This window comes from Homo sapiens, chromosome 22 (genome assembly GCF_000001405.40).
Source record: "Homo sapiens chromosome 22, GRCh38.p14 Primary Assembly".
Lineage (NCBI taxonomy): Eukaryota > Metazoa > Chordata > Mammalia > Primates > Hominidae > Homo > Homo sapiens.
The window spans coordinates 50,738,190-50,763,453 of record NC_000022.11 but is presented as its reverse complement, the minus strand read 5'-3'; the positions used below and the strand labels follow the sequence as shown (position 1 = coordinate 50,763,453).

General features: G+C 46.5%; 1 protein-coding gene and 2 pseudogenes across 2 annotated transcripts in view, besides 1 other annotated feature; 1 reads left to right on the top strand and 2 right to left on the bottom strand.

Moving 5' to 3' along the window:
• The window catches only part of RPL23AP82 (ribosomal protein L23a pseudogene 82), a 42,552-nt pseudogene extending 36,184 nt beyond the window's left edge, over window positions 1–6,368 (bottom strand). The window contains exon 1 of the transcript NR_026981.1: window positions 6,128–6,368. The product of NR_026981.1 is annotated as a ribosomal protein L23a pseudogene 82, transcript variant 1 (transcript). The remainder of the gene's footprint in view (window positions 1–6,127) is intronic.
• Window positions 7,986–9,000, top strand: SNRPA1P2 (SNRPA1 pseudogene 2; annotated as a pseudogene).
• On the bottom strand, window positions 18,115–25,250 carry ACR (acrosin). The gene is made up of 5 exons (NM_001097.3): window positions 25,142–25,250; window positions 23,980–24,183; window positions 23,477–23,760; window positions 19,248–19,393; window positions 18,115–18,801 (listed from the first exon to the last, which is right to left on the bottom strand). Exons 1-5 carry the CDS (start codon window positions 25,216–25,218, stop codon window positions 18,247–18,249), a joined length of 1,266 nt encoding a protein of 421 aa, NP_001088.2. The 5' UTR covers window positions 25,219–25,250; the 3' UTR covers window positions 18,115–18,246.
• Window positions 22,957–23,753: an enhancer, noted in NCBI's record as "H3K4me1 hESC enhancer chr22:51178129-51178925 (GRCh37/hg19 assembly coordinates)". NCBI's record gives its function as "activates a minimal SCP1, AML or CMV promoter by ChIP-STARR-seq in primed H9 embryonic stem cells {active_cell/tissue: H9 hESC(primed)}" and the evidence as "EXISTENCE:reporter gene assay evidence [ECO:0000049][PMID:30033119]".
• Window positions 25,251–25,264: the final 14 nt, after the last annotated feature.

Sequence of the window (25,264 nt, the reverse complement as noted above, 5' to 3'; positions counted from 1 at the left end):
GTGGGTGCAGTGGCTCACGCCTGTAATCTCAGCACTTCGGGAGGCCAAGGAGGGCAGATCACTTGAGGCCAGGAATTCAAGACCAGCATGGCCGACATGGCAAAACCCCGTCTTTACTAAAAACATTAAAATTAGCTGGGTGTGGCGACACATGACTGTAGTCCCAGTTACTAGGGAGGCTGAGATGAAAGGATCGCTTAAGCCCAAGAGTTCAAGGCTGCAGTGACCTATGATTGCACCACTACACTCCAGCTGGGATGACAGAATGAGACCCTGCCTCTAAATAAAATAAATACATAAATAAATAAGAGAAGTCCAGCAGCATATTAAAAGGATAATACACATGACTAAAGTGGAGTTTATCCCAGGAGTGCAGTGTCAGTTAAACATTTAAAAATTATTTAATGGGGCCAGGCGCGGTGGCTCACGCCTGTAATCCCAGCACTTTGGGAGGCCGAGGCGGGCGGATCACGAGGTCAGGAGATCGAGACCATCCTGGCTAACACAGTGAAACCCTATCTCTACTAAAAAATACAAAAAAAATTAGCCGGGCATGGTGGCGGCCACCTGTAGTCCCAGCTACTCGGGAGGCTGAGACAGGAGAATGGCATGAACCCGGGAGGCGGAGCTTGCAGTGAGCTGAGATCGCACCACTGCACTCCAGCTCGGGCGACAGAATGAGACTCCGTCTCAAAAAAAAAAAAAAAAAATTTAATGGGCCTGGGCACGGTGGCTCACGCCTGTAATCCCAGCACTTTGGGAAGTCAAGGTGGGCGGATCCCGAGGTCAGGAGTTCGAGACCAGCCTGGCCAACATGGTGAAACCCCGTCTCTACTAAAAATACAAAAAATTAGCCAGGCGTGGTCGTGGGCGCCTATAGTCCCAGCTACTCGGGAGGCTGAAGCAGGAGAATCGCTTGAACCCACGAGGGGGAGGTTGCAGTGAGCTGAGATCACACGCCACTGCACTCTAGCCTGAGCCACAGTGCAAGATTCTGTCTCAAAAAAAAAAAAGTATTGGAAGCAAGAAAAGGATAAACTAAATCTTGCGGTACTGGATAAGAGGTGAAAGTATTATTGTGAACTCTCATTTAGCTTTATATATATATAAAATGGATAGATACAAAAACAATAATAGATACATGTGTGTACATGGGTTAGTATACAACATATATTACCTAACTGTCTCATCCAGCTTTGAGGGCTTAGAAGTAATACATCTCAGTATTGACAAGCACACCCAGTGTCCAGATCTTAGTTTCTAAAAAAACACTTTCCAGTGAAAAAACCAGATTACTTTAGAGAAATGGTGGATTCCAGGGTTGAAGCAGGGGAAATGCAAAATGAGCCTGTAGCACCTTATTATATCAGAAAGGAAGGATGTGCTCAACAAATGAAATGAAGCCGGGAATGAAGCCACAGGTGCACTGGCTCACACCTGTAATCCCAGCACTTTGGAAGGCTGAGGTAGGAGGATTGCTTGAGGCCGGGAGTTCAAGACCACACCAGCCTGGGCTGTAACATAGAAAGAACCTATCTCCATAAAATAAAAATAAATTAGTAATAATTTTTTAATTTAAAAAATGATGAAGGCATGTCAAAGGGACTCAAGAGCCAATATGAAAGGGCTCCCAATGGGCAAAGCTGGAAAAATGTGAGCAACAAATTATATAATGTCATATTGGTTTATAGTCCACTGTATAAAATAAATATACATTAGGGCTCTACACTAATATAATGAATAGATGAATAATAAGAGACAAATCTTTCATACAGAAAAATTAAAAATACTATGTGTAACTCCTGCCATCTGCAGGGGGTGGAGCCAACACCCCCAACCACCATCACTACAGAGAATGGGCTGGACTGAGTGGCTCACTTCTAAAGAAGCACTTATAGAAAGCGAACAGTGATGAAACCCAGAAAACACTGCCCTGACCAACGGATCAAGGTTAATGTCATCACTGTTGTCATATGTATGTTGTAGACTCCTGATAGGATGTGATGAGGATAATTTGTCTCTATGAGACTCTTTCCCAAAATTCATAATCCCAATATAATCATGAGAAAAATATTACACAAATTCAAATGGAGGGATATTCTACAAAATACCTAACTATCCCTCAAATTTGTCAAGGTCATATAAGAGCAAAGAAAGACTGAGAAATAGTCTCAAACTAGAGGAGTAAATCTGTAACAATCTGTGACTACTATAAATCTAAAGTTGTTCTAAAATAGTTTATTTAATACACCAGATTAACAAAGTAAAAACAGAAAAATTACATGATCATCTCAATAAATGTAGGAAAAGCTGGCAAAATTCAACACTCATTACTGTGTAAAAAATAAAAATATAAACCTCTTAGCAAAAATATAAACCTCTATATTTTTCTTAGAGAATAAAATATCCTCAGCCTAATAAATGGTATTTGTGAAAAACCCACAGTTAACATCACACTTAATGGCAACAGACTGAAGCTTTTCATGCTTAAGCTCAGGAACAAGAATGTCCACTCTCACCACTTCCATTCAGCATTGTACTGTGAAATAAGGCAAGAAAAACAAGGGCTTTCAGATAGAAAAACATAAATAAGGTTGGGCATGGAGGCTCACACCTGTAACCCCAGCACTTTGGGAGGCCGAGTTGGGTGGTTCACCCGAGGTCAGGAGTTCGAGACCAGCCTGGCCAACATGGTGAAACCCCATCTCTACTAAAAATACAAAAATTAGCCAGGCGTGCTGGCACATGCCTGTAGTCCCAACTACTCGTGAGACTGAGGTAGGAGAATCACTTGAACCTGGGAGGCAGAAGTTGCAGTGAGCCAAGATTGTGCCACTGCACGCCAGCCTGGAAGACAGAGCGAGACTCCATCTCAAAAATAAAGAAAGAAAGAAATAACACTGTCTTTATTCACAGAAGACTTGATTGTCTATGTTGAAATCCAGTGGCAGCTACAAACAGAGCACCAGAATTAACAAATGAACTTGGCATGGTTTCAAGATACATGGGAACCACACAAAAATCAATTGTATTTCTGTATACTGGCAGTCAACAATTGAATATCAGAATATGAAATATTTAGAAATAATTCTGACAAAATATGTGAAAAACCTGCACACTCAAAATTACAAAACATTGCTGAGAGAAATTGAAGCAGCCCTAAATAAATGAATAGATACCCTGAGCTCATGACTCAGAGGACGCAGTACCGTAAATAAATGAATAGATACCCTGAGCTCACGACTCAGAGGACGCAGTACCGTAAATAAATGAATAGATACCCTGAGCTCATGACTCAGAGGACACAGTACCCTAAATAAATGAATAGATACACTGAGTTCATGATTCAGAGGACACAGTACCCTAAACAAATGAATAGATACCCTGAGCTCATGACTCAGAGGATGTAGTACCCTAAATAAATGAATAGATACACTGAGTTCATGATTCAGAGGACACAGTACCCTAAATAAATGAATAGATACCCTGAGCTCATGACTCAGAGGACGCAGTACCCTAAATAAATGAATAGATACCCTGAGCTCATGACTCAGAGGACGCAGTACCCTAAATAAATGAATAGATACCCTGAGCTCATGACTCAGAGGACGCAGTACCCTAAATAAATGAATAGATACCCTGAGCTCATGACTCAGAGGACGCAGTATTGTTAGGGTGTCATGTCTTCCCAAATTGATCTGCAAATTCAACACAATCACAATGAAAACATCAGCAGATTCTTTTAAGTTAATTCTTTCAATTGGCAAGCAAAAATTGTATATATTTCTGATATACGACATGATGTTTTGATATATGTATACATTGTGGAATGGCTAAATCAAGCTATTTAACATTATCTCACATAATTATCATTTCATTTTCTTTATAGTAAAAACACTTAAAATCCACTCTCTTGGCAATTTTTATGTGTACAATACATTGTTATTAACTATAGTCACCATGATGTGTAATACATGTCTTGAACTTACTGCTCCTGAATAACTGAAATTTTGTGTCCTTTGACCAAAGTCTCCCAATCTTCCCACCCCCCAGCCTCTGGAAACCACCATTTTACTCTGTTTCTATGACTTAGACTTTACTACATTCCACATATAAGTGACATCATGCATCATGTATCTTTCCGTATCTGGCTTATTTCACCTAATGTCCTCCAGTTCATCCACATTTTCACAAATAATAAAATCTCCTTTTGATGGCTATGTAGTATTCCACTGTGTATATATATCACAGTTTCTTGATCCATTCATCTTGTTGATGGATGCTTAGGTTGATACCATATCTTGGCTATTGTTAACAGTGCTGCAATGAACAAAGGAATGCAAATATTTCTTTAACATACTGATTTCCTGTTGAAATCTATATTCCTTTACATGTATACCCAGTAATGGGATTGCTGAATCTCAGCAGAATTTTTTTTTTTTTTTGAGACGGAATCTCGCTCTGTTGTCCAGGCTGGAGTGCAGTGGCACAATCTTGGCTCACTGCAAGCTCTGCCTCCTGGGTTCACGCCATTCTCCTGCCTCAGCCTCCTGAGTAGCTGTGATTACAGGCATGCACCACCATGTCCGGCTAATTTTTGTATTTTTAGTAGAGATGGGGTTTCACCTTGTTAGCCAGGATGGTCTCGATCTCCTGACCTCATGATCCGCCCACCTCGGCCTCCCAAAGTGCTGGGATTACAGGCGTGAGCCACCGCGCCCGGCCAGAATTTTTATTGTAGAAATCAACAGACTCATGCTAAAATTCATATGGAAATACAAAGGACCTAAACCCGTCAAAACAGCTTTAAGAAAACACAGATGTTGGAAGATGTATACTACCTGATTTCCAGACTTATTATAAACCCATTTGCAGTAAGATGGTGTGGTACTGGTGTCAAGATAAACAAATACATGAAAGGAACAAAATAGCTCAAAAGCAGAGCCAGACATATATGAACGACTGATTTTCTTCAGAGGTACAAAGGCATTTCAATGGAAAAAGGAGAATCTTTTCAACATATAGTGCTGGAGCAATTGGACATCATATACCAAAGAATTTTCAGCCGGGCACGATGGCTCATGCCTATAATCCTCAGCACTCTGGGAGGCTGAGATGGGCAGATCACCTGAGGTCAGGATTTCAAGACCAGCCTGGCCAACATGGTGAAACCCCATCTCTACTAAAAATACAAAAAAATTAGCCAGGCGTGGTAGTGAGTGCCTGTAATCACAGCTACTCAGGAGGTTGAGGCAGGAGAATCACTTGAACCTGGGAGGCAGAGGTTGCAGTGAGCTGAGATCATGCCACTGCACTCCAGCCTGGGCAACAAGAGTGAAACTATGTCTCAGGAAAAAAAAAAAAAAAATTTCAATCCAAGTTCATACCAAATACAAAAATTAACTCAAAATGGATCATAAACCTAAGTGAAAAACCTAAAATTCTAACATTTCTAGAATAAAACATAAAAGAACATTTTTGTGACCTTGGGTTAAGCAAAAATCTCTTAGACCATACACCAAAAGCATGATCCATGATTTCAAGATACATGATAACCACACAAAAATCAATTGTATTTCTGTATACTAGGAATCAACAATTGAGTATCAGAATATGAAATACTTATAAATAATTCTGATAAATAAATAAATAAATAATTCTGACAACATATGTGAAAAACCTGCACACTCAAAACTATAAAACATTGCTGAGACAACTGAGGAAGTCCTAAATAAATGAATAGATATACCAAATAATATGTAACAATAAAGAATACAGTGATTAGTTGTACTCCCTCAAAGTTTAAAACTGCTGAGCTCCAAAAGACACCGTTTAGAGAATTAAAAAGCAAGCTCTGACTTGGAGAAGACATTTACAATGCATACAGCTGACAAAGAACTTACATTCAGCACGTAAAAAGAACTCTCAAAACTCTATAAAAAGATGACAACAGAAGTTTTTAAATAGGCAAAAGATTTGAACAGACACTTCCCCAAAGAAGATATATGGATGACAATGAGCACATGAAATATGCTTCACATCACCAGTCATTAAGCAAATGCAAATTAAAACCACAATGAAATATTATCACACACCTATCAGAATGACTAAAATTAAAAAGACTGACCAGGGTGGTGGAGCCAAGATGGCCCAATAGGAACAGCTCCGGTCTACAGCTCCCAGCGTGAGCGACGCAGAAGACGGGTGATTTCTGCATTTCCATCTGAGGGTTCATCTCACTAGGGAGTGCCAGACAGGGGGCGCAGGACAGTGGGTGCAGCGCACCGTGCACGAGCTGAAGCAGGGCGAGGCATTGCCTCACTCGGGAAGCGCAAGGGGTCAGGGAGTTCCCTTTCCGAGTCAAAGAAAGGGGCGACAGACGGCACCTGGAAAATCGGGTCACTCCCACCCTAATACTGCGCTTTTCCAACGGGCTTAAAAAACGGCACACCGGGAGATTATATCCTGCATGTGGCTCGGAGGGTCCTACGCCCACGGAGTCTCGCTGATTGCTAGCACAGCAGTCTGAGATCAAACTGCAAGGCGGCAGCGAGGCTGGGGGAGGGGCGCCCGCCATTGCCCAGGCTTGATTAGGTAAACAAAGCAGCCGGGAAGCTCGAACTGGGTGGAGCCCACCACAGCTCAAGGAGGCCTGCCTGCCTCTGTAGGCTCCACCTCTGGGGGCAGGGCACAGACAGACAAAAAGACAGCAGTAACCTCTGCAGACTTAAATGTCCCTGTCTGACAGCTTCGAAGAGAGCAGTGGTTCTCCCAGCACGCAGCTGGAGATCTGAGAACCGGCAGACTGCCTCCTCAAGTGTGTCACTGACCCCTGACCCCTGAGCAGCCTAACTGGGAGGCACCCCCCAGTAGGGGCAGACTGACACTTCACACGGCCGGGTACTCCTCTGAGACAAAACTTCCAGAGGAACGATCAGACAGCAGCATTCGCGGTTCATGAAAAACCACTGTTCTGCAAACACCGCTGTGGATACCCAGGCAAACAGAGTCTGGAGTGGACCTCTAGCAAACTCCAACAGACCTGCAGCTGAGGGTCCTGTGTGTTAGAAGGAAACTAACAAACAGAAAGGACATCCACACCGAAAACCCATCTGTACATCACCATCATCAAAGACCAAAAGTAGATAAAACCACAAAGATGGGGAAAAAACAGAGCAGAAAAACTGGAAACTCTAAAAAGCAGAGCGCCTCTCCTCCTCCAAAGGAACGCAGCTCCTCACCAGCAATGGAACAAAGCTGGACAGAGAATGACTTTGACGAGCTGAGAGAAGAAGGCTTCAGATGATCAAACTACTCCAAGCTACAGGAGGAAATTCAAACCAATAGCAAAGAAGTTTAAAACTGTGAAAAAAAATTAGACAAATGGATAACTAGAATAACCAACGCAGAGAAGTCCTTAAAGGAGCTGATGGAGCTGAAAGCCAAGGCTCGAGAACTACGTGAAGAATGCAGAAGCCTCAGGAGCCGATGCGATCAACTGGAAGAAAGGGTATCAGTGATGGAAAATGAAATGAATGAAATGAAGCGAGAAGGGAAGTTTAGAGAAAAAAGAATAAAAAGAAACGAACAAAGCCTTCAAGAAATATGGGACTATGTGAAAAGACCAAATCTACATCTGATTGGTGTACCTGAAAGTGACGGGGAGAATGGAACCAAGTTGGAAAACACTCTGCAGGATATTATCCAGGAGAACTTCCCCAATCTAGCAAGGCAGGCCAACATTCAGATTCAGGAAATACAGAGAACGCCACAAAGATACTCCTCGAGAAGAGCAACTCCAAGACACATAATTGTCAGAATCACCAAAGTGGAAATGAAGGAAAAAATGTTAAGGGCAGCCAGAGAGAAAGGTCGGGTTCCCCACAAAGGGAAGCCCATCAGACTAACAGCGGATCTCTCGTCAGAAACTCTACAAGCCAGAAGAGAGTGGGGGCCAATATTCAACATTCTTAAAAGAATTTTCAGCTTTCCACAGCGCGGGGGAACGGGAGGCCGCAGGATGGTCAAGCTGACGGCGGAGCTGATCGAGCAGGCGGCGCAGTACACCAGCGCGGTGCGCGACCGGGAGCTGGACCTCCGGGGGTATAAAATTCCCGTCATTGAAAATCTAGGTGCTACGTTAGACCAGTTTGATGCTATTGATTTTTCTGACAATGAGATCAGGAAACTGGATGGTTTTCCTTTGTTGAGAAGACTGAAAACGTTGTTAGTGAACAAAACAGAATATGCCGTATAGGTGAGGGACTTGATCAGGCTCTGCCCTGTCTGACAGAACTCATTCTCACCAATAATAGGCTCGTGGAACTGGGTGATCTGGACCCTCTGGCATCTCTCAAATCGCTGACTTACCTAAGTATCCTAAGAAATCCAGTAACCAATAAGAAGCATTACAGATTGTATGTGATTTATAAAGTTCCGCAAATCAGAGTACTGGATTTCCAGAAAGTGAAACTAAAGAGCGTCAGGAAGCAGAGAAAATGTTCAAGGGCAAACGGGGTGCACAGCTTGCAAAGGATATTGCCAGGAGAAGCAAAACTTTTAATCCAGGTGCTGGTTTGCCAACTGACAAAAAGAAAGGTGGGCCATCTCCAGGGGATGTAGAAGCAATCAAGAATGCTATAGCAAATGCTTCAACTCTGGCTGAAGTGGAGAGGCTGAAGGGGTTGCTGCAGTCTGGTCAGATCCCTGGCAGAGAACGCAGATTGGGGCCCACTGATGATGGTGAAGAAGAGATGGAAGAAGACACAGTCACAAACGGGTCCTGAGCAGTGAGGCAGATGTATAATAATAGGCCGTCTTGGAACAAGTCTTGCTTTTCAAACATAGTATAATAGCCTTGTTTGTGTTAGCAAAGTGGAATCTATCAGCATGGTTGAAATGCTTAAGACTGCTGCTGATAATTTTGTAATATAAGTTTTGAAATCTAAATGTCAATTTTCTACAAATTATAAAAATAAACTCCACTCACTGTGCTACCAAAAAAAGAAAAAGAAAAGAATTTTCAACCCAGAATTTCATATCCAGCCAAACTAAGCTTCATAAGTGAAGGAGAAATAAAATACTTTACAGACAAGCCAATGCTGAGAGATTTTGTCACCACCAGGCCTGTGCTAAAAGAGATCCTGAAGGAAGCACTAAACATGGAAAGGAAAAACCAGTACCAGCCACTGCAAAAACATGCCAAAATGTAAAGACCATCAAGGCTAGGAAGAAACTGCAGCAACTAACAAGCAAAATAACCAGCTAACATCATAATGACAGGACCAAATACACACATAACAATATTAACTTTAAGTGTAAATGGGCTAAATGCTCCAATTAAAAGACACAGACTGGCAAATTGGATAAAGAGTCAAGGCCCATCAGTGTGCTGTATTCAGGAAACCCATCTCATGTGCAGAGACACACATAGGCTCAAAATAAAGGGATGGAGGAAGATCTACCAAGCAAATGGAAAATAAAAAAAGGCAGGGGTTGCAATCCTAGTCCCTGATAAAACAGACTTTAAACCAACAAAGATCAAAAGAGGCAAAGAAGGCCCATTACATAATGGTAAAGGGATCAATTTAACAAGAAGAGCTAACTATCCTAAATATATATGCACCCAATACAGGAGCACCCAGATTCATAAAGCAAGTCCTTAGTGACTACAAAGAGACTTAGACTCCCACACAATAATCATGGGAGACTTTAACACCCCACTGTCAACATTAGACAGATCAATAAGAGAGAAAATTAACAAGGATACCCAGGAATTGAACTCAGCTCTGCACCAAGCAGACCTAATAGACATCTACAGAACTCTCCACCTCAAATCAATAGAATATACATTTTTTTCAGCACCACACCACACCTATTCCAAAATTGACCACATAGTTGGAAGTAAAGCACTCCTCAGCAAATGTAAAAGAACAGAAATTATAACAAACTGTCTCTCAGACCACAGTGCAATCAAACTAGAACTCAGGACTAAGAAACCCACTCAAAATCGCTCAACTACATGGAAACTGAACAACCTGCTCCTGAATGACTACTGGGTACATAACGAAATGAAGGCAGAAATAAAGATGTTCTTTGAAACCAACGAGAACAAAGACACAACATACCAGAATCTCTGGGACACATTCAAAGCAGTGTGGAGGGAAATTTATAGCACTAAATGCCCACAAGAGAAAGCAGGAAAGATCCAAAATTGACACCCTAACATCACAATTAAAAGAACTAGAAAAGCAAGAGCAAACACATTCAAAAGCTAGCAGAAGGCAAGAAATAACTAAAATCAGAGCAGAACTGAAGGAAATAGAGACACAAAAAACCCTTCAAAAAATTAATGAATCCAGGAGCTGGTTTTTTGAAAAGATCAACAAAATTGATAGACCGCTAGCAAGACTAATAAAGAAGAAAAGAGAGAAGAATCAGACCCAATAAAAAATGATAAAGGGGATATCACCACCGATCCCACAGAAATTCAAACTACCATCAGAGAATACTACAAACACCTCTATGCAAATAAACTAGAAAATCTAGAAGAAATGGATAAATTCCTCTACACATACACCCTCCCAAGACTAAACCAGGAAGAAGTTGAATCTCTGAATAGACCAATAACAGGCTCTGAAATTGTGGCAATAATCAATAGCTTACCAACCAAAAAAAGTCCAGGACCAGATGGATTCACAGCCGAATTCTGCCAGAGGTACAAGGAGGAGCTGGTACCCTTCCTTCTGAAACTATTCCAATCAATAGAAAAAGAGAGAATCCTCCCTAACTCATTTTATGAGGCCAGCATCATCCTGATACCAAAGCCTGGCAGAGACACAACCAAAAAAGAGAATTTTAGACCAATATCCTTGATGAACATTGATGCAAAAATCCTCAATAAAATACTAGCAAACCAAATCCAGCAGCACATCAAAAAGCTTATCCACCATGATCAAGTGGGCTTCATCCCTGGGATGCAAGGCTGGTTCAACATACGCAAACTGATAAATGTAATCCAGTATATAAACAGAACCAAAGACAAAAACCACATGATTATCTCAATAGATGCAGAAAAGGCCTTTGACAAAATTCAACAATGCTTTATGCTAAAAACTCTCAATAAATTAGGTATTGATGGGACGTATCTCAAAATAATAAGAGCTATTTATGACAAACCCACAGCCAATATCATACTGAATGGGCAAACACTGGAAGCATTCCCTTTGAAAACGGGCACAAGACAGGGATGCCCTCTCTCACCACTCCTATTCAACATAGTGTTGGAAGTTCTGGCCAGGGCAATTAGCAGGAGAAGGAAATAAAGGGTATTCAATTAGGAAAAGAGGAAGTCAAATTGTCCCTGTTTGCAGATGACATGATTGTATATCTAGAAAACCCCATTGTCTTAGCCCAAAATCTCCTTAAGCTGATAAGCAACTTCAGCAGTCTCAGGATACAAAATCAATGTACAAAAATCACAAGCATTCTTATACACCAATAACAGACAAACAGAGAGCCAAATCATAAGTGAACTCCCATTCACAATTGCTTCAAAGAGAATAAAATACCTAGGAATCCAACTTACAAGGGATGTGAAGGACCTCTTCAAGGAGAACTACAAACCACTGCTCAATGAAATAAAAGAGGATACAAACAAATGGAAGAACATTCCATGCTTATGGGTAGGAAGAATCAATATCATGAAAATGGCCGTACTGCCCAAGGTAATTTATAGATTCAATGCCATCCCCATCAAGCTACCAATGACTTTCTTCACAAGATTGGAAAAAACTACTTTAAAGTTCATATGGAACCAAAAAAGAGTCCACATCGCCAAGTCAATCCTAAGCCAAAAGAACAAAGCTGGAGACATCACGCTACCTGACTTCAAACTATACTACAAGGCTACAGTAACCAAAACAGCATGGTACTGGTACCAAAACAGAAATATAGATCAATGGAACAGAACAGAGCCCTCAGAAATAATGCCACATATCTACAACCATCTGATCTTTGACAAACCTGACAAAAACAAGAAAGGGGGAAAGGATTCCCTATTTAATAAATGGTGCTGGGAAAACTGGCTAGCCATATATAGAAAGCTGAAACTGGATCACTTCCTTACACCTTATACAAAAATTAATTCAAGATGGATTAAAAACTTAAATATTAGACCTAAAACCATAAAAACCCTAGAAGAAAACCTAGGCAACACCATTCAGTACATAGGCATGGGCAAGGACTTCATGTCTAAAACACCAAAAGCAATGGCAACAAAAGCCAAAATTGACAAATGGGATCTAATTAAACAAAAGAGCTTCTGCACAGCAAAACAAACTACCATCAGAGTGAACAGGCAACCTACAAAATGGGAGAAAATTTTCGCAACCTACTCATCTGACAAAGGGCTAATATCCAGAATCTACAATGAACTCAAACAAATTTACAAGAAAAAACAACCCCATCAAAAAGTGGGTGAAGGATATCAACAGACACTTCTCAAAATAAGACATTTATGCAGCCAAAAAACACATGAAAAAATGCTCATCATCACTGGCCATCAGAGAAATGCAAATAAAAACCACAGTGAGATACCATCTCACACCAGTTAGAATGGCGATCATTAAAAAGTCAGGAAACAACAGGTGCTGGAGAGGTTGTGGAGAAATAGGAACACTTTTACACTGTTGGTGGGACTGTAAACTAGTTCAACCATTGTGGAAGTCAGTGTGGCGATTCCTCAGGGATCTAGAACTAGAAATACCATTTGACCAGACACCCCATTACTGGGTATATACACAAAGGATTATAAATCATGCTGCTATAAAGACACATGCACACATATGTTTATTGTGGCACTATTCACAATAGCAAAGACTTGGAACCAACCCAAATGTCCAACAACGATAGACTGGAGTAAGAAAATGTGGCACATATACACCATGGAATACTATGCAGCCATAAAAAATGAAGAGTTCATGTCCTTTGTAGGGACATGGATGAAACTGGAAACCATCATTCTCAGCGAACTATCGCAAGGACAAAAAACCAAACACCACATGTTCTCACTCATAGGTGGGAACTGAACAATGAGAACACATGGACACAGGAAGGGGAACATCACACTCCGGAGACTGTTGTGGGATAGGGGGAGGGGGGAGGGATAGCATTAGGAGATATACCTAATGCTAAATGACGAGTTAATGGGTGCAGCACACCAGCATGGCACATGTATACATATGTAACAAACCTGCACATTGTGCACATGTACCCTAAAACTTAAAGTATAATAATAATAAAAGAAAATAAAAAAGGCTGACCATACCAAATCTTGTCAAGGATGTGGAAGAGTCGGGACTCTCATATACTGCTGATGGGACTGTGAAATGTTGCAATCACTTTGAGAAAACACTCAATGTTTTTCAAAAAGTGCTTTTTAACATATACCTACCAGCCATTCCTCACACACATGGTTAGCCAAGAGATATGAACATGTATGCCCATACAAATCCTTGTATTTGAGTGCGCATAGCTGCTTCATTTGGAATAGCGCAGACTGGAAACAACCCAATGTCCATCAATAGGTAGATAGGAAAACAAACTGTGGTATAGCCGTGTGATGAAATACTCAGCAATGGAAAGAAATAAATCACCGATACACAAAATGAATCTCAAAATGATTATGCTGAGTGAAAGAAGATTGATTTTTAAAAGGGCTTGCTATAGGGTTTCATTTATATAAAATTATGAGAAAAGCAAATTGATATGAGACAAAGCAGACCAGACATTGCCTGGGGCAGGAGAGGGGACAGGCTGGAGGGATTGCAAAGTGCCACAAGGAAACTTTAGGGAGTGACGGACGTGTTCACTCTCTGGGTTGTGGTGATTGCTTCAGGGATGCATTTGTATGTCAAAACTTACACCCACCGTATGATCCAGTCATTCCACCCCTAAGTATTTACCCGAGAGACATGAAAGCACATGCCCATGCAAAAACCCATGTGTAGTGTCCAGAATTAGATCACTGATGATTCTTTACCAAGAATAGAGTTTCTGGAGTAAACTCCATTAAGCTAACTTCTGTTTCTTGGTCAGTTTTCTACATATTAAAGATGAACCGTTTTCATTTTTTCACATTTCCATTGTAAATTTGCTAAGATTGGATTCACCAGAACATTTTCCCTTGCAAATATTGTAAGATTTCCTATATTGATGAGAGGCACAGCGAGGACCTCTGCCTCTGTGAGTGTCAATATTGTGCATGATCCTTGCCGCGCCCACTGTTCTGGCATCAGAGTCTTGCCCTGTACAGTTTAGCCACTGTCAAACCATTTTCTTTTATTGTTCCGATCAGTAAGCTTCATTATGAATTCAGTTTTTACAAATATTTTTCATTTGCTTAGCCGTCCCATGAGAAAACAGTGAGCACATCCCTCAGATATCTAAGTGTGCACACCCCTCGGTTGTCTAGGTGGGCACACCCCTCGGATGTCTAGGTGGGCACACCCCTCGGTTGTCCAGGTGGGCACACCCCTCGGTTGTCTAGGTGGGCACACCCCTCAGATTGTCTAGGTGGGCACACCCCTCGGATGTCTAGGTGGGCACACCCCTCGGATGTCTAGGTGGGCACACCCCTCGGTTGTCTAGGTGGGCACACCCCTCGGTTGTCTAGGTGGGCACACTCCTCGGATGTCTAGGTGGGCACACCCCTCGGGATGTCTAGGTGGGCACACCCCTCAGATAGTCTAGGTGGGCACACCCCTCGGATGTCTAGGTGGGCACACCCCTCGGATGTCTAGGTGGGCACACTCCTCGGTTGTCTAGGTGGGCACACCCCTCGGATGTCTAGGTGAGCACACCCCTCAGATTGTCTAGGTGGGCACACCCCTCGGATGTCTAGGTGGGCACACTCCTCGGATGTCTAGGTGGGCACACCCCTCGGATGTCTAGGTGGGCACACCCCTCAGATTGTCTAGGTGGGCACACCCCTCGGATGTCTAGGTGGGCACACTCCTCGGATGTCTAGGTGGGCACACCCCTCGGATGTCTAGGTGGGCACACCCCTGGGTTGTCTAGGTGGGCACACCCCTCGGATGTCTAGGTGGGCACACCCCTCGGTTGTCCAGGTGGGCACACCCCTCAGTTGTCTAGGTGGGCACACCCCTCGGATGTCTAAGTGGGCACACCCCTCGGATGTCTAGGTGGGCACACCCCTTAGATGTCTAGGTCCCTGGAGTTTTGGTTTGTCACACAGCTGGTCATTCTTCCATTTCTCCTGTCACTATGAGCAGGAGACACCTGCTTCACGATCTGAAAGTTTAACCTTTTCAGGGTTAAACTATCCATAGGAACATGAAGGCAGATCAAAGAGCGTCAATTTTAAAAATGAAAATTGGAACATCTATTACATTGGTAAAGATAGACACATTTCGTAAGAACAGTGTCGGCTTAGATGTAGGGAAATGGGCACTCTCATGCATGGAAGGCTAAACATTCCTTCCTAGGAAAGAACTGTGCCACTTTGTCTTCTAAGTATCCCTATTGTGGAAGATCAATTTAGAGACATAAGATGGGCCTGTACACACTAACATAGAAATACCTCTATATTTGCTAAATGGAAAAGCAAGTCATAGAGTAGTGTGAATGGTGAAGGATCAGGAGATTATGTGACATGTCACCATATTAATGTGCATGTGAAGTTTCCAGGAATCACGGCTTGAATTCTCCACCCAGTCTATGGCCTCTCATAGGGTGTTCCTTGAGAGTAGGCCCTGTCTCTCCAAGGAGGCCCAGATGTCAGCTATAGATGATAGGCCCAGGGTAAGATTTTCTCCATCACTGGGGAGAGAAGAAACTAAGGACAAGGAGCATTTATGGGGAGAGAGAACCAAGAAAATCAACTCTGGATCACAGAAAGCTCAGAAGAGAAGCAGTGAAGTCTCTGGGGTAGAAAAAAGCTGCTGCTGCTGTAGCTCCACCCCAACTTGTCCAAAACCCCTTTGTGACCGCAGCACAACTTGCCCCATACTTCCATGTGCTGGCCCACCTGGCTCTGTGTCTGGCTCAGGGTCATTGAGGGTGAATCCCAAGCTGCCGTTGTTACGGCTTCTGCACGGGGCCTTGCATTTTGTATGCTTAGTATTTAGACAATGTCAAGTGTCTGGCACCAGAGTACAAAGGGAGATTAAGAAACTGGCTTTAGGAGAGAGAGCCTAAAAGTCAATAAAATGAATTACCAACTCCAACTTCAGCAGCACCAGCTCTTAAGCCAAGGCAGATAGAATGTTTTAAGTGTGATCAACTGTTACTATCCTACAGAGCCATGGGCCATTCGACTCAATACGCAAGCCCTCCTATGTGGCCAAAGCATTTCAGGGGTCATAAGAGGAAAACGGCAGGCACCGAAGTGCCCCTGCAGATAAGCGTAAGATTATGCACCAGCAGTCACCACCAGCTGGCCCATGAATGACAGCCCACGTTCGTGGGCATTTCTGGTGTGTCAAGACCTGCTTTAATACTCCGCATCTGTCCTTATTTCATGGTCACACAGCCCTCTGGCACATCTTCCCCAGAGCACGGAGCTTATGCGGGGTAGAGCAGGGTATTTGCTTGAACCCAGGTAGACCAATAAATTTTGAAGATGAAGATTCACAGCTGCTCCATCAGTCCAGGTTCCAGCTCCAGCAGGAAAATGACTGGTCCTTTGAGCTTTCTCAGCCAGGGTTCCTCCCACCTGCCATGGCACCTTCTCTCTGCCACCTGTCTTGGTAACCGGGGCATAGGACCACCTTGCGCTTGACTCACACAGGCAGCTAGGTGGACACACGTATGAGTGAAAGCTTGTTGCAATGACTGCTCAGCCAAATGCCAAGGTTTTCTCTCTTTCTGAGACCTGCCATCTTCAGTCTCACAAGGGGTTAAACCAGCAGTCAAGTTTTGCATTTTTACTCCCTGATCAGAGTGGGCGGTTGGCCTGAACCTATCAGGATTTCCTTCTTTTTTTTTTTTTTTTTTTTTTGAGATGGAGTCTCACTCTATCACCCAGGCTGGAGTGCAGTGGCGTGATCTCGCCTTACTGCAACCTCTGCCTCCCGGGTTCAAGTGATTCTCCTGCCTCGGCCTCCCGAGTAGCTGGGATTACAGGCACCGCCACCTCACCTGGCTAATTTTTCTGTGTTTTTAGTAGAGATGGAGTTTCACCATATTGGTCAGGCTGGAGGATTTCTTCCCCAGGATTTTGCAAATAGATGTGAACAGTTCCAGGTGACAGCTGCCCCCAGCATGGGGCAGTGTGGGGCAGGTACTCTATGCAGACCAGGGTCATGCCTTGCCTGGGTTCCTCACCATTCTTGGTGTCTGCTTCTGGCCTTTCCTATTGGTTCTGTGTGACATCTTTGCATCCTTATCACTTAAATGGCTCTAACTGGTTTCTGTTCCTTGCAATGGAAGGTCTTAAAATAAATAACCCCAAATCCTAAGGAAGCCACTCAAAGCTCACTCGGGGGCATCCAAAAAGTATTCCCCATTGCAATTCCTAGAAAGCTCTAGCAAAGAATACATTTTTTAATTTGCTCAAATCCAGGAACTAATAAGATTTAACTACAGGCAAGTAATGAACAGGCTTGTTGGTGTCAACTGGACACTAACAAGCCACAAGCAAAATTGTGTTTGGTAGTAGACACTTGTTTTGGTGGCCTAGTGGCCTCCTTAGCCTTTGTGTTCTGGGGAGTTCAACCTTCATGCAGAATCTTCTCTGTGGGTGTCAACACCACCAGCCTCCTGATAGAAGACTTGGACCCACACCCCCTCTTTCCCCGTCAGCTCACTCACAGCTGCTGCTTTGGGGGTCCACCCCCTTTGACTTGCACATGCAGAGATGGCTCTTTTATTTTCACCATTTGTCGTTTCTCCCTAAGTGTGAAATAAAGACCATCCCCGGTCTACGGCCCCAGGTCACCTTATTCCAGCATTAAAAATCAAGATTTTAAAAAACACGATTGGCACTAATGTACAAGCAATTCCGCCTTATTGTAGGGTGAAGGAGAGAGGGTAGATTTTATAGGGGAAATTTGGGTTGGGAGGGGGGATAGGAAGAAGTCCAGAAAGCATCTCTTGATGTATATGCATGTATACATACAGATATGTGTGTGTGTATATCTATATATATATGTTTATTTATTTATTTCATCTTTCCTTTTTCTCAGGAGTGAAGGGCTCACTGGGTCTGTTGAGAACCAGGTCAGATCAGGAGGTCGAGGTCAGTTCTGGGAGCTCTGTGGTCTCCATGTCATAATGGTTCTTTCCGTCGGAATAGGTCTTCCCCTTCAAGACCTCTATGAGCTGCTGTAGGCGCTTGGCAAAAGAAAGTCCTTGGGGAAGTTTTGTGGTAGATGAGGGTGTAGGTGGGGGTGGGGGTGGGGGTGGGGGTAAAGGTGAGGCTGGAGGTGGGGGTGGGGGCGGGGGTGAAGGTGGGGGTCGGGGCTGGGCTGCCGGTGGTCGGGGTGGAAGTGGTCGAGGGGGCGGTTGGAAATACCAAGGAAGGTGAGCAGAGATAGGGTGGGAGAAGGGGGGTCGAATCGGGGGCGGTCGAGTGGTGGGAGGTGGAGGGGTGGCCGATTGAATCATACGCAAAGCGTTAGAACCAATCTTGGAGGCGATCCAGTTCAGATAGGGCCAGGTGGCCGTGTAGATTCCGGGGCGCTTGGCACGGGCACAGCCTACCCCCCAGCTTGTGATTCCCACGACCACATAGGCGCTTTCCTTGCTGTCTTTGCACATGAGAGGCCCGCCGCTGTCTCCCTGTCCAGAAGGACACAGAGGTCACTATCTGCCTGAGCCACTCTTCCCCTGCCCAGAGGGGTCGGAAGGCTCTGGGAGGACAATTTCCACAGTGACATGGTCTCCTGCTGCTGTAAACACAAGTGGTTGTAGTAAAGTTTGAGGGGGTGTCAGGGGCTTCATTTGGGATGTGAGGAGGGTGTGAATTGTCAGGGCTTTCCTTGCAGTGAGATGAGCAAACCCACGTGTCCACAGGGGCACATGGCAGGGGCAGCCGGTGGCTGTCACCGCTCATCCCCACTGTGAGAGTAGGTGCTAGAAAAGGGACCGGGGAAGCAGTCACTAGAGAAGGGCCCTGGGCAGAGCAGTGGAGATAGTGGAGCTTGGGGATCCAAAAGGAGGATGTTCTCAGGGGCCGGGAGAGTCCTGGAGGGACCCAGGGGCCCAGAAGCCAGAAGGAAGGTTACCTGGCAGGTGTCGATCTTGCCTACAGGATACCCCGCGCACACATTGGTTGGCTGAACGCGCCCATTGTACCACTGGGTCGAGTTACACAAGTCCAGGTCGATGAGATCCACACGTGCCTCCATCAGTATAGATGATGGCCTGGGGGCTATAGTCAGACCACTCGGTGGTCAGTGATCACGGGAGACACGGACAAAAGCCCTGCCTCCTTGCCCCACCGAACCCCATCCTCTGTGATGCTCCAGTTAAACCTCAGACCCATCCAGTCGATGCCCCGACCCCTCCTTATACACCAGAAAGAGCAGACTAGAGGTGGTGGGAGGAGGTGGGGAAATGTTATCCAAATCAAGGCCAGAGGAGAGAGGAAGAGAGGAAGGAAGGGTGGAGGCCCGTGGACAGGTGGATGGGGGGTGGGTGTGCGTATTAACGATGGATTATGGAGGTTAGTTGCAGTATTACCAATAACACCTAGTGTGCACCAAGCACTCCCTGAGTCACATGGTCCCGTTATTCCCATTTTGGATCAGAAGGCTGGAGCACCGCCCACCCAGGTCACAGTAGAGAGGTGGTGGGGCTGCAGCCTGGCCTCAGGACTGCTCCTCTCCAGACTCCAGTCTGAGACACACTGTCCACTCCCACAGTCTGGCTGTAAGCCACTCCCCCTGCTTCTTGTCCCTCTTCAGAACTCCTCGGCTCAGCTGCGGACGGGATCTGCTGCAGCTGGGTCAATAAGTCCCTCCCCATATGCTGCATATCTGTTCCGAGGAGACCGCAGGGGAAGCTCGGGGCAGCGCCTCCACACACGGGCAGACCTGGCAGGGGCAGGGGCGGTTGAAACAACCCCGATGCGGACTTCCTTGAAAGCCCTGGACTTGGCTGGGCGCGGTGGCTCACGCCTGTCATCCCAGCACTTTGGGAGGCCGAGGCGGGCGGATCACGAGGTCAGGAGTTCGAGACCATCCTGGCTAACACGGTGAAACCCCGTCTCTACTAAAAATACAAAAAATTAGCCAGGCATGGTGGCGGGCGCCTGTAGTCCCAGCTACTCGGGAGGCTGAGGCAGGAGAATGGCGTGAACCCGGGAGGCGGAGCTTGCAGTGAGCCGAGATGGCGCCACTGCACTCCAGCCCGGGCCACAGAGCGAGACTCCGTCTCAAACAAAAAAAGAAAGAAAGCGCTGGACTCTCTACCGTGACCTTTGGGTTAGAAAGACCCGATGCTACGGCGCATGCGCCAGCGTTGCTCCTTTTCAAGGGGTCCCACAGACAGAAGGGTCCCCAACAGCAGCAGCCACTCTGGCCCCCACCGCAGCAGCACCTACAACCCTGGGGGTGGATCTGGACGTCACCTGCAGAGCAGATGGGAGCAGACTGAGGTAGGGGCAGACCCAGAACATAGCTGCACAGGCCAGGACGGGAGACAGGGGACACACGAGTGACGTGCATAGGGCTCGGCACACAGCAGGCGTCTGGTAAGCGGCTGCTGAACGAGTGCTCGCTGGCTTTCCGTTTTTTAATCCCCTTAGCCCCCACCTTTTCTTACCATCCAAGCAGCAGTGAGAGTTTTGTACATGCACTGCCCTTGGGGTAGGGGTGACATTGAAACAACAATGACAACAATCCTGGCTTATTAGCCATTAAGACGATTTTTTTTTTTTTTTTTTTTGAGACGGAGTCTTGCTCTGTCGCCCAGGCTGGAGTGCGGTGGCGCCATCTCGGCTCACTGCAAGCTCCGCCTCCTGGGTTCACGCCATTCTCCTGCCTCAGCCTCCCGAGTAGCTGGGACTACAGGCGCCCGCCACCATGCCCGGCTAATTTTCTGTATTTTTAGTAGAAATGAGGTTTCACCGTGTTAGCCAGGATGGTCTCGATCTCACGACCTTGTGATCCACCCTCCTTGGCCTCCCAAAGTGCTGGGATTACAGGAGTGAGCCACCGCGCCCGGCCAAGATGACTTTTTAAGTCTAGGGCAGAGCCCATAGTCTTGAAAGCCATGGGTTTTATTGTGAAGAGCCAGGTGTCCTCAAACAGAAAAGGGTTTTCTAAATCCCAACACCTTGGCGGGTTTTTTTTGAGATGAAGTTTCGCTCTTGTTACCCAGGCTGGAGTGCAGTGGCGTGATCTTGGCTCACTGCAACCTTCACCTCCCGGGTTCAAGTGATTCTCCTGCCTCAGCCTCCCGAGTAGCTGGGACAACAGGCATCCACCACCACACCCTGCTAATGTTTTATATTTTTAGTAGAGATTGGGTTTCACCATGTTGGCCAGGCTGGTCTCAAACTCCTGACCTCAGGTGATCCACCTGCCTCGGCCTCCCAAAGTGCTGGGTAAATTACAGGAATGAGCAACTGCACCCAGCCGACACCTGGGCTTTAAATAACAAATGCTTAAAAGTCTGCAGGGACTCAAAACCCAATGGGAAAGAAGCAATACCCAAGCAATACCCTTCCAGCCCCAAAGCAGATGAGTTGAAGGAGGTGGTAAGACATGGAAGGTTTGAAGGGATCACAGGAGTTGGAGCCTGGGGGTTTCTTTAAGACTTGGGCTTATGGGTACAGGATGTGTTTGCAAAAATGAAAAACAAAAAAACCCCAAACAGAAACAGAGTGATCCTATTAGGTTTATGGGAATTCCAGAACAAAAAAGGTTTTGCATGGCATCCAAGATATAGCTAGGACACTACAATCTGTCTGAGTAATAGAATAGGACAGCAACGGTTGGCAGTGGGGACCCTAAGATCAGCCTCCCAGGAACATAGGGACCCCCAAGAGCTGTGGACATCATCAGACAGGGGACAGAGCATGGCAGGCTAGGGGGCTGGACAGAGGCCAGGGCAGAGCCATGGGTATCGGCAGCTGGAATAGAGGCTGTCACTCCAGGCCAGAAGGGGATGGCCACGTGTCAAGTGAGGCCAGTGAGAACAAGGACAGCTGGGATGAGACTCCCTTCCCTGAGGGACAGGAGAGGTGACAAACCTGTCAGAAACTTAGACCACGCCCTCAGAGAAGGAAATAAGAGTTAAAGGAAGAATCCTCAAATTATTGACTTTTTGTTGTTGTTACCCAAAAAAGGCTGCGTTTTAGACTCATATGACTGAATTGCCTTGAATTAAGAAGCCTCATTATCCATTATCAAGAAAAAAAGAGATTGAGATGCACCACTTATGGAAAGCTGGAAGTATAGGTCACATGCAGAGATCAAGTCCTACTGGGTCTTGTCCTGCTGGCAAAACCTTGCTGCTCACTGCTGCCATTTAATGGGGTCACCTGTTGCTTCTGGGATAAATGGTATCTCTAGTGTGCCTAAGTATGTAGGGAGAGGTGTCTGGGCGTCTCTGACCACGGAGTCAGTAATGACAATTTGTTCTAGGTCACACCTGGGGCCCTCCGTGAGCCTGGTCTGGTACGGAAGAAATTCCCCCTACTCTTCTAGAACTCATCTGGTGTCGAGTGTATCAGGTAGTGTTGGATGGGCAAGAGATCTTCTGGGAGCCAGGGGAGAGAGAGACAGCTTGGTTATGGACAGAGCTCTAGAGCGACAGCTACACCCGTCTTGAATGGAGAGGTACCTGCCGGACACTCCAGGAAGCCTGAAATACAGGGATGCCTATGACCCACAGAAAGCCACACCAACCACCGGTCCCCTTCCCAGTCTACAGAGCAAATGTCAAGTAACTCAGATGGAGAGGGTAGATTTGGTGCTATGACTGCACCGGAGGTGGCTGCTGATGGTGACAAAGACAGCCTGGAAGCAGGAAGGCTGGGCCCTGGAATCACAGGTGTTAGGAAATGGTCAGCTTGGAGACCATCTGATCCAGCCCCTCCATTTACAGATGAGGAAACCAAGGCCCAGAGAGTGGAAGGCACTGTCATACGGCCACATAACCTTATCTGGAGCTCTTCTCCAAAGGCTGTTTCAGGGTTGCTGCTTGTTTCCAGGATCCAGCAGCTTGGGCCCCAGGTGCCAAATACAGACACAGCCTCAACCCCATTCTAAGCAACGCTGCGCTCTGCCTGCACCTGCTGTCAGCCCCCCCGTAGACAGCCAGACGAGTCACCCATCACGTGACCTGGCACAGGGGACTGTGGAAGGCCACAGTGATGGCTCTACGTGTAGCGCCGTGAGGAGGATGAAAGCAGCCTGGCTGGGTGTCAACAAGTGACCGCTGCACCTCAAAGACCACCAGGAGAATGGCCAGCAGCGTCCCCCCTTGGAGGCGCTCCCATACTCACCTTTCTCTTCTATATATCCCCAGCCGGCCACCCAGCAGCTCTGGGAGCCTCTGGGGAGGCCTGCCTTAAAGTGGGGCAGGCAGCCCGGCCCAATGAAGCGCCCACACGAAATGGGAGGGGTGATCTCCACGAGGGCAATGTCATTTCCCTCTGTCGCAGAGTTGTATTTTTCATGAATGATGATTTTCTCCACATATCTCTCTTGCAGAGGCGCCTTTACTGGTTTATTGTTCCCATATGTAATTTCCTTTGCTCCGAAAACCAGTCTCCAGTCATGCACATTACTGTGGGCACAAAGGTAAGCCAGGTCACAACCGGCTGGACAAAAGCCTGGTGACAGCGACCCTCAGGGCCTTCCCCTAGCAAAGGTCTGGACCAGCCCCCGGAGTCTTGCAGCCACTTGGCCCAGAGCCCCAGGGAGACGCTGCACAGCATCCCCGGGGAACGCCCCTCTCTGAGAAGAGCCGTTCTGAAGACCTCCCTCAGTGCATCCCTACACGTACTTTTTGCCGACGAAGCAGTGAGCAGCAGTGAGCACCCATCGTGAATTCAGCAAGCTGCCTCCACATGTGTGGTACCTGTGGCTGTTGTACGTGAAGATCTGGAGGCTGACCATCCAGGGCCAGGCCCCATGCTGTGCAGCCTTCCCGCCGACGATGCGGACACCACCCTGTGGGTTTTGCCTGAACCGTAACCCACAGGGGCCACTGGGGAGAGACCAGAGCACAGTTCAAACCTGGCATGAGCACAGCCTGTCCTTGTAACTCCACAACTGAGGGGAGGCAGGGACATGGGGTTGGGAAAAGTGGGGAAGAGCTTCCGGGTTCTGGGAAAGCAGGGGCAGCCTGCGCTATGTAGGAAGCCGCAGGCTCTAGGAAATGGTTCTGGGGCCACGACTTCTCAGGTCTTGTGGGTGCAGTCACAGATGGAGAAAGAGGAGGCCATAGGAAGCCAGGACAGGCTGCATGGGCCCTGAGGGATGGCCCGTCCCTGGGCAGAACAGGAGGGTAGAGGTGGGGATGCGGGGCCTGGGGACAGAGGGGTGTAATGGCCTGAGGTCCTTATAACCAATCTTGGGTGGGAGACTCAGGGAAGTCAGGTGATGAAGGGGGTCGTTGACAGTGATGGGAGGAGGGATAGCAGCCAGGGGCAGATACTGTGGCCCACAGGTGTAGGGGGCACACTGAGAGCAGTGGAGGTCTAGAGGTGGAGGCTCTGGGAACTGTGTCACGGGTGGGAGGCCACATATAGCTTGGGAGGTGTTGGTATTTCGGGGTACCTTGGAGTGAGAGAGCCTACTGGGGGGTAGGGGTGCAAGCGGTGTGAAGCGATGATATCCTGGGGCTGTTGGGGGCAACCACGGGTTGGGACAGCTGTCTGTGGGGGGATAAGGGCTCCCAAAATCAGGACTTCATGTCTTCAAGACAGTGGGGTCAGTCCCTGGGGGAGTGGGAGAGGCACAAGGAGCCTGAGGTGCTGAGGGGTCCATCTCTGGAGGAAACCACGAAAGCTGAGGGTCTGGGGGCTCCAGGCTGCTGATTCTGGGAGCAGGGGGGGTCCAGGTTAGGGATGCAGCCTCCTTTTCCCTAGCCCTGGACAGAGGGAGTCGGGGTGGTACCTGCTCCTCAGAAGATCCTTCCCCCACCAAGGTGCCCCGACACTTACTCACACGTGGCGTTATCTTTAGCAACCACGGACACTGCCAAGACCAGCAGAATGGCAGTTGGTAGCATCTCAACCATACTCCTGGCACTGCCTGGCCTGCAAGCCTAGTGACCTCACAAAGCT